At 49.2% G+C, this 15,677-nt stretch overlaps 1 long non-coding RNA gene across 2 annotated transcripts in view; it reads left to right on the top strand.

Moving 5' to 3' along the window:
• Positions 1 to 82: 82 nt before the first annotated feature.
• The window catches only part of LOC124900194 (uncharacterized), a 29,722-nt gene continuing 14,127 nt past the window's right edge, over positions 83 to 15,677 (top strand). Inside the window, exons 1-3 of one of the 2 annotated variants that reach the window (XR_007059067.1) lie at positions 83 to 536; positions 1,640 to 1,725; positions 1,825 to 1,986. This is a non-coding gene — a long non-coding RNA (uncharacterized LOC124900194). Of the gene's footprint in view, positions 537 to 1,639; positions 1,726 to 1,824; positions 3,544 to 15,677 lie in introns of those variants that run through there. The other variant, XR_007059066.1, reaches the window with a different exon arrangement.

Genomic DNA, 15,677 nt, shown 5'->3' with positions numbered 1-15,677 from the left:
TTGGGTAAGAGAAAACGCAGAGGCCTACTCTGATTGGACTTTGTTAGCATGTTCTGATTGGATGAGAGCAAGTCTTAGGACAACCAGTCAGCGTATGAAATAAAGTCCAATCAGAGAAGGCCTAGAGGTTTTCTCTCATCCAATCAGAACATGTAGTTCAGAATCCTTGTGCATAACCCCATGTGCATGCTGAGGAGGCCTCACGCCATCCTAGGCTTTCCTAAATCGGCCGGCGGAGCTACTCTGTTCCTAGCTTAGCAGATCAAGAGAAGGGGGAGCTGGATGCTGGAGCCTGCAACACTGTGGCTCGCCTCGCTACAGTTGGCAGTGGTGACAGAGACAGCAGGCAGCACGGCCAGAGCGGTAGAAGGGAGGATGGCAGCGGGAGCTGCTCTTGACTGGCTAGCGGTCTAGAAGAAGGGGGGCCCCCTGCTCCACGCTGGAGGCTGGAGCCTTGGCCACCGAGGCTCCTCTGGCTGCGGTTGGTGGTGGCGACCGAGACTGCAGGTCTGTTAGAGTGGTAGAAAGTTTGCCGGGTAGGTGCACTCTTTGCGGCTGCACTGCCCTCCTGCAGGGGGTTGGGGAGGCATATTTGGTAAGCTGTTGAGGCTGCAGTGCCTGCCGCAGGGGTAGGGAGGGGCTGGTGGGGGCGCTATCTGGCATTGCATTGCTGTGGGGGTGGGGGGCAGGTTGGCTGAGTTATCAGGGCCTACAGTGCCCAAGGTCGAGGGGTTGGAGGCAGGTTGTGTGCGCTATTGTGCACAGCCAGCGGCTCATGGGGGCAGGTTAGGGGTGTTATTTGCTGCACTGCCAGAGGCAGGGGGCAGGTTGGGTGTGCTATCCTGGGCTACAATGCCAGCAACAATGTGGGCCGGCAGTCGGGGGAGGTTTAGGGGAGCTGTCAAATGCTGCAGTGCTTGTGGGGGAAGGGGGAAAGGGGAAGGTGGGGTGGGGGGTTTGGTTGGGTGCACTATCCTGGGCATTCACTGCCCACGATGGGAGCAGGTTGGGGGCGCTATCCAGGGCTGTGCTGCCTGTGGCCCTGGTGGGGGGCTGGTTTGGGGCGCTGTCAGGTGCTGCAATGCCGGTAGCGGGATTGGCTGTGGACACCATCAAATGCTACACTGCTGGGGGCAGAGTGGTGGTTTGGGGGCACTATTGGGGTTACATTGCCTACTACGGTAGTCTCTGGGTGTGTTGTGGGTGCAATCCGGGGGCTGCATTGCCGGCAGCGGGGGCCAGGTTAGGGGCGCTATCGGGGTCTGCACTGCTGCCACCAGAGGCAGGTTGTGGAGGTGGCCGGGACAACGGTTGCCTCCGAGGAAGGGGACCTTCTCCTTTTCTCAGACTCAGGGCTCTAGAGAGAGAACTCCTCCTGCTCGTGTGGGAGTGTGGCGGGCGCACAGAGTTTTCATGCCAATCCTCTAAGCATGGCAGGGCCCCCACACCCACTGTGGTTCCCCAGCCCTTGCCCTCTCGCTCCATGTTGTGGAGACCATCTGGGACCTCCAGGCATGGAGCAGGAGTAGTGGGCACCACGGGGGCTCAGGGCCTGTGGGTGGAGGAGTCAGGAATGGGAACCAGTACTTGGGTGGGGAGTACTGGCTGAGTGTGAGTTTCTGCTGTTCCTGCTCCCCAGGGAGTGTTGGGCACTGTGGTGTCTCCAGTCCCCACCCCAGGTCAGGAGGCCAGCTTGGGCCAGGAGGAGAGGCTGGACTTTGGCAGGTGAGTGTGAATGCCTTTGCTGAAACTGGCCGCTGCCACCCAGTGGCCAGCATGACAAGGCGAGGCTTTAACACTACCACTTTCTGCATCCCGTTGTAGGTTTTTCTGGCTTTTCCTCTCCAGCTGTTCCAAGCCAGGCTGGTGAAGTAGGAGTCACCTGTGGTGAGCTGGAGGTTGGAGCCTGTAGATGGCGTGGCTCTGTGGCTCACTTCCTGTGGTTGTGGCAGTGACAGCGATGGAGACTGCAGCTCGACAGGAATGGTAGGAGGGTGCCCGTGGAGGCCAGGTGGAAGGAGCCCTGGAGGGTGGGTGGGTGCATGGAAGGTGACAGAAGCACTGGTTGTGTTGGCATCGGCGGTAATAGTGGTAACAGCAGCAAGTCTGGGGGCCGGGAAGGGGGAGTAGGAGAGCTTTGGGGCCTGGCCTGGCCTGGGGTGTGTAGGAAGCTGCTGGTTCTGTACTGCAGGCCTCAGTGACAGTGGTGGAGGTGCAGCCAGGGCAAGGAGGAGTCCTCCCCTTTCTTCTGCAGTTTCTGGAGGGTGTCCTCCTCCTGCTGGTGCCTGAGCCAGGAGTGAGTGGCAGCATTGTCTCATTCTTAACAGAATTTAGGGGGTGACTAGTTGTGTGTCTTTTTGCTTGTGTTTGTTTTGATAACTTATCCCTTAAGGAACAAAAGGCTTCTTTGGCTGGGTTTTGGTGTGGTGGGATCCCCTTCCCATGCAAGATAAAGGGTGCTTTCCTGGGAAGGTGTGTGTTGGAGGGAGTTCATCAAGGAGAAGAAAGGGAACCTCCCAGGAGGGTGGCTGCTGTGGCAGATCCCCTACCTCTGGGCAGCCTCTGGGCCACCTAGTTTCTCCTGTGGAAGAAGGGAGGCTTAGACCTGTGTCACCTGTATCATCAAAGAGGCATCCTGGCTGGGCCTCCTGTGGAAGAAGGGAGGCTTAGACCTGTGTCACCTGTATCATCAAAGAGGCATCCTGGCTGGGCCTCCTGTGGAAGAAGGGAGGCTTAGACCTGTGTCACCTGTATCATCAAAGAGGCATCCTGGCTGGGCCTCCTGTGGAAGAAGGGAGGCTTAGACCTGTGTCACCTGTATCATCAAAGAGGCATCCTGGCTGGGCCTCCTGTGGAAGAAGGGAGGCTTAGACCTGTGTCACCTGTATCATCAAAGAGGCATCCTGGCTGGGCCTCCTGTGGAAGAAGGGAGGCTTAGACCTGTGTCACCTGTATCATCAAAGAGGCATCCTGGCTGGGCCTCCTGTGGAAGAAGGGAGGCTTAGACCTGTGTCACCTGTATCATCAAAGAGGCATCCTCCTGGGCCAGTCGATTTGGCCTTCCCACTTCTTCAGCCCACCTGCCCATGGTGTCACCTGGGGGAAGTGGATCCTCACACCACAGGGGCAGAGGCTTCTCCGGCAGGCTGGTTGCTGAAAGGGGTTCTGTCCTGCCTGCTGCTCAGGAGGGATTCTATGGCCAGGAACTGATGCTGGGACTCTCCTGTTCATGTCCTGCTGCCTCTGTGTTGTCTCTGGGTTCTCAGGGACTCTCAGATCTGTGAAGACAAAAAGGTTTCCTGGCTAGTTTGCGTGGTGTGGCTGGGGTCACTTTTGCTACATGCCCCTCAGGCACCCCAGTGCCTCTGGGGAAAAAGGGAATTTTAGATTTACTAGAGAAAGAATGTGTCTATGTTGGCTGCTTATTGTTAGCAAACTTCTGAACAGTTCTACTCTAAGATCATGGCAGAATGGTTGCCTCTTGTTGGATAGACTCCCGCTCCACTGGGGAAGAAACGAGCTTACCTGGACTGTGTTTCTTGCTGGCTTGAGGGTAGAAAACGCTAGGTTTTTGTCTGCTTTTTCAGTTGAGTTAGGGAAGTGACATGCAGTGCCACTTCAGTTCTGGAGTCCTTAGATTGCCTTCTTTGTAGCACCATCCAGCATTCTCCTTCAGTGAGATAATAAGGGAGGGTTCCTAATCTAACAGGAAAAGTGGAATGGTGTTCTTATATTGTACAACAAGAAATATGAACTAATTCTGAAAAATTTAGTCGTTCCTCTTTTAAATTTAGAAACCCCTTATTATATTTATAATATTTAAAACCATTAAAAATTAAGATGTCATAATTAAGATAATCTTTTAACATTTTACATTAATTAGCATTTAGCAGATGACCATAACAAATTATTTTTATTATGTTACATTAATTGCCAATACAGATTTCTTTCTGGTTATTACAAATCTGTTTGCAAAATTTTATTTTGTCATTTATTAAATTTTTGGATAATTAGTTGCTACATTATAGGTATACAAACTTATAGTGTTAATTATGGCTACAAATACTTAAATTCAGTTTTAGTATCTTTTATTAATAGTCTAAAACTTATAAAATGCTTTGTGCATTAATATTGGTAACATTTTTTAGTATGAATTATCATTTCAAAAATGTTAAGAACATAGCTTTTCCATCTTTTATTTATTTATTTATTTTTTATTTTTTTGAGGTGGAGTCTTGCTGTGTCGCCCAGGCTGGAGTGCAGTGGTGTGATCTCAGCTCACTGCAACCTCTGCCTCCCGGGTTCAAGTGATTCTCCTGCCTCAGTCTCCTGAGTAGCTGGGATTACAGGCACGTGCCACCACACCTGGCTGATTTTTGTGTTTTTAGTAGAAATGAAGTTTTACCATATTGGTCATGCTGATCTTGAACTCCTGACCTCAGGTGATTCACCTGCCTTGGCCTCCCAAAGTGCTGGGATTACAGGCATGAGACACCACGACTAGCCTATTTATTTATTTTAGAGACAGGGTCTTCCTCTGTTGCCCAGGTTGAAGTGCAGTGGTGTAGTCATAGCTCACTGCAGGCTCAAACTCCAGGGCTCAAGAGATTCTCCTGCCATGGCCTCCCAGAGTGCTGGGATTACAGGCATGGGCCATTGCGCCTGGCCTAAATTGTAATAATTTTATAGTTTGCCTCAAACGAGGGCTGACATCTGGGCAAGGTCTGCTGGGGGCCTCCCACATGCAAGCAGTCTCTCTGCTGTGCCCTCCACCAGCTCTGAGGGCCCCCTGCCACAAGCACCGCTCTCTCCTTTCCCCTCTGGGGAAGGCCAGGAGAAGTGACTTTTGAGGTTACCTGAAGGACTTCTGTCTGTTTGGAAAAGGGTGTGAAGCTGAAGCCGATGGCCTCAGTGCCCAAAGGAGAACGCTTCTTACTGGCCTATGGAAGCCACTGGCCTGACAGTGGGGTCCTGGTCTTGGGGGTCTCAGCCACGTGGCCACCCATTCCTTCCTCACTTAGGCATCCACCTAGCGGGCTGCTCACACCCCCTTCCATCCTGTTTGTGTTCAGCCAATCAGGCAAGCCAGGGTTATAGCCCTCCCTGCCCTGGGCCCTGGCTCCATGAAGCACCATGGGCCTTGGAAGACCTCCCCAAATCATCCCATCTCCCCAGTACCTTCTGCCAAGGCAGAAGTTTCCCCGGGCCCCTGCTCTGACTGTTTCCTTGGCACAGTTTGTAGCTGTGCCTGATACGGCACACCTACCTGGTTTCCGTCCCAAACCCACAGCCAGGCCATGTGACAGCTGCTGCCTGTGCCCAAACATTCATCCAGCCCCACCCAGGAGAGCCAGACAGGCACTCACCCCCCCACCCACACCCTCCCCCACACACCCCCACCCACACCCTCCCCCACACACCCCCACCCACACCCTCCCCCACACACCCCCACCCTCACATCCCCACCCACACCCTCGCCCACACCCCCACCCACACCCTCACTCACACACCCTCACCCACACACCCCCACCCACACCCTCACCCACACACCCCCACCCACACCCTCACCCACACACCCCCACCCTCACACCCCCACCCACACCCTCGCCCACACCCCCACCCACACCCTCACCCACACACCCCCACCCTCACATCCCCACCCACACCCTCGCCCACACCCCCACCCACACCCTCACCCACACCCTCACTCACACACCCCCATCCAAACCCTCCCCCCCACACCCCCACCCACACCCTCGCCCACACCCCCACCCACACCCTCACCCACACACCCCCACCCACACCCTCACCCACACACCCCCACCCACACCCTCACCCACACACCCCCACCCACACCCTCACCCACACACCCCCACCCACACCCTCACCCACACACCCCCACCCTCACACCCCCACCCTCACACCCTCACTTGCCTGGCCCTGCCACACCCCACCCTTCCTCTAAACCTACTGGGGCAGCAGCTTCCCCTACGTTCCGCCTGCTCCACCTCCTCCTAGAGTTGGGTCACACACAGTTTCCCACACCCTTGGCAGGTTGGTCATGGCCCTGGCAGGTCTGAGGACAAGATGGTCACAGGACTGTGTGCAGCATAGAAAAGTCAGGGAGTGCAGCCTCCTACTCTGTGCCAGCTGCCAGCCCCTGGAGCTTACTAGGCTGATGGGGACAAAGAATGCACCAGAGGGGACAGTAGTCCACCACAGGACTGATGGGAGGTTCACAGATGCACTGAGTGCCCTGTTGCATTGGTCCTCAGGGGTAGATGCTGAGATGGAGTTAGGAGAGCAAAGGGGAGGAAGGGAGCTGGGCATGGTAGCTCATGCCAGTAAATCCTAGCATTTGGGGAGGCCAAGGTGGGAGGATTTCTTGAGGCCAGGAGTTTGAGACCAGCCTGGGCAACATAGCAAAACCCTGTTTCTACAAAAAAAATAAAAATAAAAAAAATTAGCCTGGCGTGGTGTCTGTATTCCCGATTACTCAGGAGGCTAAGGTGGGAGGATCAGTTGAGCCCAGGAGTTGGAGGCCACAGTGAGCTATGATCATGCCTGCACTCCAGCCTGGGCAACAGAGCAAGACTCTGTCTCAAAAAGAAAAATAAATGGGGAGGAACTGGATTGGGCAGAGGGCACCAGCAGAGGAGCTCTGGATCTAAGTGCCTGACAGAGGAGTCCCCTGTTAGACAGAAAAGGCCCTGATACCACTTGCTCAGTCACTGGCCACCAGGGAAGAGGGTGGCCTCGAACTGAGAGCTGAGGGGACCCGGAAGGTGCTGACAGCTGGGCAGAGAGTGAGTCCTTTTGAAGGGGCATATCGCCTTCCCCACTCACTCCTGCTGGGCTACGCTGGGTAGTGGGCGCCCTGGGTTGCAGACATTAAGCCTTTAGAATGGAAGCTGGTTGATGGCAGGACTACTGCCAGCTAGACTCTGTCACCCCTGGTCTGTCACAGGCCAGGACCCACAAGGTCCTTGGCATGCTTAAGTGAATGTGTACAGGAATGAGGGAATGAACTTCCTCGAAAGAATCCTGGCGTGGTGAGATTCTGGAACTTGGCCTCAGGGACCTGCATTCACATTCAGTCCTGGCCCTTCTAAGCTCTGTGGCCTCTAACCTGCCCTAGGCGTTAATTTCCCTGTTGGTGAAATTAGAGTGATGATGCCTGTCATGATATTTCTGTTTTCTTTTTTCTTTTCTTTGACCCTTTCTTTCCTTTCTTTTCTTTGATCCTTTCTTTCCTTTCTTTTCTTTCTTCTTTCTTTCTTTTTTTTTTTTCTTTTTGGAGTCTCACTGTGTCACCCAGGCTGGAGTGTAGCAGCACAATCTCAGCTTACTGCAACCTCTGTCTCCTGGGTTGAAGCAATTCTTGTGCCTCAGCCTCCCAAGTAGCTGGGACTACAGGCATGCGCCACCACGCCCAGCTAACTTTTTGGTGTTTTTAGTAGAGATAGGGTTTCACCATGTTGGCCAGGCTGGTCTCGAACCCCCTATGAAGAGATCTACCACCTTGGCCTCCCAAAGTGCTGGGATTACATGCATGAGCCACCATGCCAGGCTGTCATGATATTTCAATAAAGTGATGTAGAATCATGTAGGCCATGACCTTCCTTAGGTGGAGCAGAAAATGTCACCTCCATGTAAAAAAAGGAACAGGGACCAAGTGCGGTGGCTCACGCCTGTAATCCCAACACTTTGGGAGGCCGAGGAGGGCAGATCACCTGAGGTCGGGAGTTCGAAACCAGCCTGACCAACACGGAGAAACCCTATCTCTACTAAAACTGCAAAAAATTAGCCGGGCGTGGTGGCGCATGCCTGTAATCCCAGCTACTGGGGAGGCTAAGGCAGGAGAATCACTTGAACCAGGGAGGCAGAGGTCGCAGTGAGCCGAGACCGTACCATTGCACTCCAGCCTAGACGACAAGATTGAAACTCCATCTCAAAAAAAAAAAGAAAATAAATAAATAAAATAAAATAAAATAAGGAACAGGAGCAGGAAGAAAATACACCAGCCAGGAATGTTAACAGTCATTGTCTCTGGGTGATTTTTTTATAAGTTTGGTTTTTTTTGAGACAGAGTCTCACTCTAGCGCTCAGGCTGAAGTGCAGTGCGGTGATCTTGGCTCATTGCAGACTCCACCTCCCAGGTTCAAGCAGTTCTCCTGCCTCAGCCTCCCAAATAGTTGGGATTACAGGTGCCTACCACCAGGCCCAGTGAATTTTTTTGCAATGGTTTGAGATGTTAAATCTGTTTCTGAGTATTTGTAGGGTTTTGAATGGGAATTTAAAAGAGTCGGGTCATGGAATATTGACAGTACATTTTAAACAGATCCCCAGGAATAATTACTTTTTAAATTTTATTTTTATTTCAACAGTTTTTGGGTACAGGTGGTTTTCAGTTACATGGATGTGTTCTGAGATTCTAGTGGGTCCGTCACCTGAGCAGTGTACACTGTACCTAATATGTAGTCTTTCATCCCTCATCCCCCTCCCATCCTTTCCTCTCTGAGTCCCCAGCGTCAATTATATCATTCTTAGGCCTTTTTATCGGTGTAGCTTATCTCTAACTTTTAAGTGAGAACATATGATTTTTGGTTTTTCATTCCCGAGTTACTTCACTTAGAATAATGGCCTCCAGCTCCCTCTAAGTTGCTGCAAAAGGCATTATTTTGTTCCTTTTTATGGCTGAGTGGTATTCCGTGGTGTATATATACCACGTTTTCTTTGTCTACTCGTTGGTTGATGGGCACTTAAGTTGGTTCCACGTCTTTGCACTTGTGAATTGTGCAAACATGCATGTGCATGTGCCTTTTTCACAGGATGACTTCTGTTCCTTTGTGTAGATACCCAGTAGTGGGGCTGCTGGACTGAATGGGAGTTCTACTTTTATTTCTTTAAGGACTCTTCATACTGTTTTCCACAGTGGTTATGCTCACTTACATTCCCCACTAGGAGAGTAAGAGTGTTTCCTTTTCACCACATTCCTACCAACATCTACCGTTTTTTGACTTTTTAATTATGGCCATTTTTGCAAGAGGAAGGTGGTGTCTCATTGTGATTTTGATTTGTATTTGTTTGATGATTAGTGATGCTGAACATTTTTTCATGTGTGTCTGCTTGTGTATCTTTTGAGAAGTGTCCATTTATATCTTTTGCCCACTTTTTAATAGGGTTATTTATATTTTGCATGTTGATTTAAGTTCCTTACAGATGCAGATATTAGACCTTTGTCAGATGCATAGTTGGGGAATATTTTCTCTCATTTCATAGGTTGTATATTTACTCTGTTAATAATGTCTTTCGCTGTGAAGAAGCTCTGTCATTCAATTAGGTCCCACTTGTCAACTTTTGTTGGTGTTGCAATTGATTTTGAGGACGACCTAGTCATAGATTGTTTCCCAAGGCCAATGTCCTGAATGGTATTTCCTAGGTTTTCTTTTAGAGTTCTTATGGTTTGAGGCCTTACACTTAAATCTCTGATCCAGTGGCAAGACCCACCATCTTCAAGGACTCATCTCACGTGTAACAACATCCACAGGCTCAAAGTAAAGGGATGGAGAAATATCTACCATGCAAAAGTCACCATTTTTTTTTTTTTTTTTTTTTTTTGGAGATGGGCTCTGTCACCGAGGCTGGAGTGCACTGGTGTGATTATGGCTCGCTGCACTCAACCTCCCAAGTGATCCTCCCACCTCAACCTCCTGAGTAGCTGGGACTACAGGCATGCACCACCACACCTGGTTAATTTTTGTATTTTGTGGTAGAGATGGGGTTTTGCCACGTTGCCCAGGCTGATTTCCAACTCCTGTGCTCAAACAATCCACTTGCTTCAGCCTTCCAAAGTGCTAGGATTACAAGTCTGAGCCACCGCGTCCAGCCCAGGCATTGCTATTCTTAGATAAAACAAATGGTAAAGCAATAAAAATTAAGTAGGACAATGAAGGCCATTATATAATGATGAAGGGTACAATCCAACAAGACTTAACTATCTTAAATATATATTCACCCAACGTTGGAACAACCGATTCATAACACAAGTTCTTCTTGGCCTACAACATGACTTAGACAACCACACAGTTGAGGGAGACCTCAACTCCCCACTGACAGCGTTAGACAGATCATTAACACAGAAAATTAACAAGGAAACTGGACTTAAACTCAACACTTGACCAGTTAGACCTAATAGTTTTCTACAGAACACTCCACTCAACAACCACAGAATATACATTTTTCTCATCTGCACAGGTAAGACTCTCTAAGATCAATCGCATGCTCAGTCATGAAGCAAGCCTCAATAAATTTAAAACAAACCTGGACGGGTGCGGTGGCTCATACCTGTAATCCCAACACTTTGGGAGGCCGAGGCGGGCGGATCATGAGGTTAGGAGTTCGAGACCATCCTGGCTAACACAGTGCAACCCCATCTCTACTAAAAATACAAAAAAAAAAAAAAATTAGCCAGGGGTGGTGGTGGGCGCCTGTAGTCCCAACTACTCGGGAGGCTGAGGCAGGAGAATGGCATGAACCCGGGAGGTGGAGCTTGCAGTGAGCCGAGATTGCGCCACTGCACTCCAGGCTGGGCGACAGAGCGAGACTGTCTCAAAAAAAAAAAAAAAAAAAAAGAATGTAAATTTATTTTCTGATAGTTCTAGAGGCTAGGAAATCCAAGATGAAGGTGCTAGCAGGTTAGGGCCTGGTTTCTCTGCTTCCAAGGTGGTGCCTTGAGCACTGTGTCTTCCAGAGAGGAGAAACACCGTGTTCTCACATGGCAGGAGGTGGGGGCAGGGAGACAGAGATAGAAACTGCTTCCATGGGCCCTTTTTATAGTGGCGTTTCCATTCATGAGCTATACACCTCCCATTGGTCCCCACCTGCCCATACTGTTCCATTGGGCATTAAGCTTTCAACACATGAGTTTTGAGAGATACATTCAAACCATAGCATCCCTTTGTTATTTAGGAGTGTGACATTTAATTTTTCTATGTTTGTGAATTTCCCAAATGGTCTTCTGTTATTGAATTCTAATTTCTACTGTGGCCACAGAATGTACTTTATATGATTTCAGTCTTTCTAAATTTATTGAGGTTTGTTTTATGGCCTAGCACATGGTATGTCTTGGAGAATGTACTGTGTGTGCTTGAGAAGAATGTGTGTTCTGCCTCTGTTGGTTGGAGTGTTCTGTAGATATCTGTTAGTCTGGTTGGATTAACAATGTTCACATCTTCTATATCCTTGTTAATCTTTCATCTAGCTGTTGTATCTGTTCTCGAAAGTTGGGTATGGAAGGCTGGGCATGGTGGCTCACGCCTGTAATCCCAGCACTTTTGGAGGCAGAGGCAGGCAGATCACGAGGTCAGCAGATCGAGACCATCCAGGCTAACACGGTGAAACCCCATCTCTACTAAAAATACAAAAAAAAATCAGCCCGGCATGGCGGCGGGCACCTGTAGTCTCAGCTACTTGGGAGGCTGAGGCTGGAGAATGGTGTGAACCCCAGAGGCGGAGCTTGCAGTGAGCCAAGATAGAGCTCCATTGCACTCCAGCCTGGGCGACAGAGGGAGACTCCATCTCAAAAAAAAAAAAAAAAAAAAGAAAGTTGGGTATGGAAGTCTCCAACTATTACTGTTCAATTGTCCATTTCTCCTTTCAGTTCTGTGGTTCATTTTTGCATCATATTGGGTCTCTTTCGTTAGTTGCATATGTTTATAACCGTTGTGTCTTCCTGATGAATTGACACTTTGTTCATTATAAAATGTCCCTCTTTATCACTTGTAACATTTTAATTTATTTTTTATTATTTATTTATTTATTTATTTAATTTTTGGGACAGGGTCTCTTGCTCTGTCACCCATGCTGGAGTGCAGTGGTGCCATCTCTGCTCACTGCAAGCTCCGCCTCCCAGGTTCAAGTGATTCTCCTGCCGCAGCCTCCCTAGTAGCTGAGATTACAGGCACTTGCCACCAACCCAGATAATTTTTGTATTTTTGGTAGAGATGGGGTTTCACCATGTAGGCAAGGCTGGTCTTGAACTCCTGAGCGTAAGTGATCCACCCACCTCCGCCTCCCAAAGTGCTGGGATTACAGGCGTGAGCCACCACGTCCGGCCTCTTGTAACATTTTTACAGTCTATTTTGTCTCATATTGATATAGCCATTCCAGCTTGCTATGGTTGCTGTTTTCACGGTATGTCTTTTTCCCATCTTTTTACTTTCAGCCTGTTTGTATCTTTGAATCTAAAGTGTATTTCCTGTAGACAGCATATAGTTTGTTTTTTAACCAAGCCTGACATCTCTGCCTTCTAATTGGATTGTTTAATCTGTTCACATTTAAGGATTTTGTTATATGGTTGGATCTGTGTCTGTCATTCATGTTTTCTATGTCTCATGTCTTTCTTTGTTCTCTCCTACCTTATTTACTACATTCTTTTGCATTCAGTAAATATTTTCCAGTGTCACATTTTGGTTACTTTAATAATTCTTTAACTATATTTTTCAGTTCTTTTCTTTGTGGTTCCTCAAGAGAGGGGATGAGAAATGCTGGCAGCCCATGCCTCCCAGTGTGATATGGTGAGCTTGAGTGGCAGCTGAGCAAGGAGGGAACCACCTACTCTTAACCCGACCTACCTGGAGCAGAGCCTCCATCACTCTGAGCTGGGGGAAGGAGGAGAAGGGAGTGGGTTGTAGCTCAATATCACAGAGACTCATGGTTCTTTCTGAATTTTTGTAGATTTTCTAGAATAAATATTTCTTCATTTGCTGTATGCCCTTAGGACAATTTCCAGACACTTTATTTATTTATTTATTTATTTATTTATTTATTTATTTAGAGACAAAGCCTCACTTTATCACCAGGCTGGAGTGTACTGGCACGATCTCGGCTCAGTGCAGCCTCGAACTTCTGGGCTCAAGGAATCCTCCCACCTCAGCCACCTGAGTAGCTAGGACTGCGGGTGCATGCCACCTTGTCTGGCTAATTTTTAAAAATTAGGTGCATGCCACTGTGCCCAGCTAATTTTTGTATTTTTAGTAGAGACAGGGTTTCACCATCTTGGCCAGGCTGGTCTCGAGCTCCTGACCTCGTGATCCGCCCGCCTCGGCCTCCCAAAGTGCTGAGATTACAGGCGTGAGCTACCACACCCAGCCTGCACCCAGCCAATTTTAACCTTTTAAAGAGCTGGTGAGAGCTGTGGCTCTTGCCTTTTAATTTTAAGTTCTGCTGATACAGACAAGACTTGACTCTTTTTAGAGGCAGGTCTTCAAAGGTTGCGTCGTCGTCCCCCAGCTCCCTGCCGCAGTACACTCTGCTTCGATTCTAAGTCGGGGAGGAGGAGGTTCACCCAGATTGGATCACAGCTTTAATTTGCATTGCTTACAAAATGGATGTCCCCGCAAGCTGACAGAAGCTGTTGTGTGCATGTGTGCACGTGTGTGTGTGTGAATGTACACAACAATTTAAACAGATAGTGGCAGACTATATTTAAAGCCTACAGACTGGCTGTTCATTAAGGAGAAGATGGGAGCAGACACTCACTGGGTTCCCAGGGGAAGCTGACTTTGATGTTGCCCAGGAGCTGGGCTGAGTCTGTGAGGAATAACCAGAGACAGGATTTACCAGGAGAGGCTGTTTTCTGGACGACGTTGAAATATGTGATGCCATTGACTTTGAAACCCGCAGATCATTCTCTTTGTCTTAAGAAAAGTTCTTTCAACATCTTCAAAACAATCTGTCCAGTGGTGGGGGCTGGGGAGAGCGTTCGCAGCATGGCCACTGCGTGCAATCCCCGACCATCCCTGGAGGACCGATTCTCGCTCAGAACCCTTGTTCCTCCTCCTCCCGGCCCCTGTCCTGGTGTTGGTTCCTTTTCTGTGGTGTCCACACATTTCCTTTGCGTTCTGGTTCTGCGTGGGAAGAACCCTGCAGCTTGGGAGCTTTCCATCCATCTCTATTTTTTTTGGTTGGTGACTCTTGGCGGCTCTCTGTGGGGACATTGGTGCTCTCCAAGAAGGTACTTCTTGAATCAGTGACCGACTTCTTCCCCTATAGGTTAATGTCACCAGTTTTAAAACTTCCTACAAATGGAATCATATAGTCTGTGCTTTATTTGCATCTGGCGTCTTTCATGAAATTGTATCACTCATGAGATTCATGTGTGCTGCCCTGCGTAGCAGTAGTTCCATTGTCATTGCTGTGGAGTATTGCACTGCACACACAGACAATTTGTTTCTCCAGTTACCATTGATGGATATTTGCATTGTTTTGAAGTTATTGTGAGTAAGGCTGCTGTGAACATTAGTGTACAAGTCTTGTAGTGGACATGGATTTCATCTCCTGTGGACAAATACCGAAGACAGAATTGATGGTTGTTAGTTAGGTATATTGGTCTGCTTGTGTGGCCATAGCAGAATGCCATAGACTAGGTAACTTAACAGAAATTTCTCACAGTTCTGGTCTGGGCAGTCCAAGGTCAAGGTGCTGGCAAGGTGGATTTCATTCTGAGGCCTCTTCTCTTGGTTTGTGCCTACAAGTTGTCTCCCTATGTGTGTACCTGTGATTACTTCTTTGTGTAGGTGCATGGTGTAGTGAATTCCTACAATTTTATGTTGCCATGGAATCCATTTTTGTTGTTGTTGTTTTTTGAGACAGAATCTCACTCTGTCACCTACACTGGAAGTCAGTGGCGTGATCTTGGCACACTACAACCTCTGCCTCCCGAGTTCAAGCGATTCTGCCTCAGCCTCCCGAGTAGCTGGGATTACAAGCATGCACCACCACGCGTGGCTAATTTTTACATTTTTAGTAGAGACAGGGTTTCACCATGTTGGCCAGGCTGGTGTCAAACTCCTGACCTCAAGTGATCCATCCACCTTAGCCTCCCAAAGTGCTGGGATTACAGTCATGAGCCACCATGCCCGGCCCCCGTTTTGAATTTAAGTTGGACTTTCTCATACCAGAAGCATGGCATAATTACCCTTAACACCATTTCCAGTTCTTTAACTCCTTCCAGTTCCTCAAAGTGGTCAACTCAGATATCTGCCATGTACAGCCACCTCCCAGGCACCACCTCCCTGGAGGGGAGCTGGATACAACGTACTTGACTCACCCTCTGACCCCTCACCCTGCGTGGTCTGCCCTTGACTCACCCTCTGACCCCTCACCCTACGTGGTCTGCCCAGATACACCACAGTGCCCACTTCCCAGTCACAGCATGATCACCTGGAGCTCGTGCCTGCTTGCTCTAAACAATCAATTAGAGCTTCCTATGGGAAACTTGCTGGGGTCACACCCTGGACCCCAATAAAGGCTTTAGTCCTAGAGGTCCTCTCTCTTTCAGTCCCCACCTGCTGGCTAAACGTGGGTATCCTGAATGGCTCCCCACTTCCTGCTGGCCCTGCGAGGCATGGTGCCCTCCTCTCTCTGGGATCTGTGAGTAATCAACTACTCCTGCTATTTCATGTGTTTTATTGCACACACTGTGTCTCACCTGACTGACACACCCGAACCCAACCCTCCTCATCAGGGCTGCCCTAGAGAGTGGCTGTCTTGGTAGGAATAAATTGAACACAGGTCAGACAACAGCTACAAGGGCATCGTCCTCTATATACAAGCTTCCTGTGAAAGGGACATCTGTCACAGGTTGAGCACTTGGGCATGAGGCCACCTGCCAG

The sequence above is a fragment of the Homo sapiens genome, chromosome 5 (assembly GCF_000001405.40).
Source record: "Homo sapiens chromosome 5, GRCh38.p14 Primary Assembly".
Classification (NCBI taxonomy): domain Eukaryota; kingdom Metazoa; phylum Chordata; class Mammalia; order Primates; family Hominidae; genus Homo; species Homo sapiens.
The sequence above is the reverse complement of the archived record's forward strand: the minus strand, read 5'-3'. Positions and strand labels throughout refer to the sequence as shown.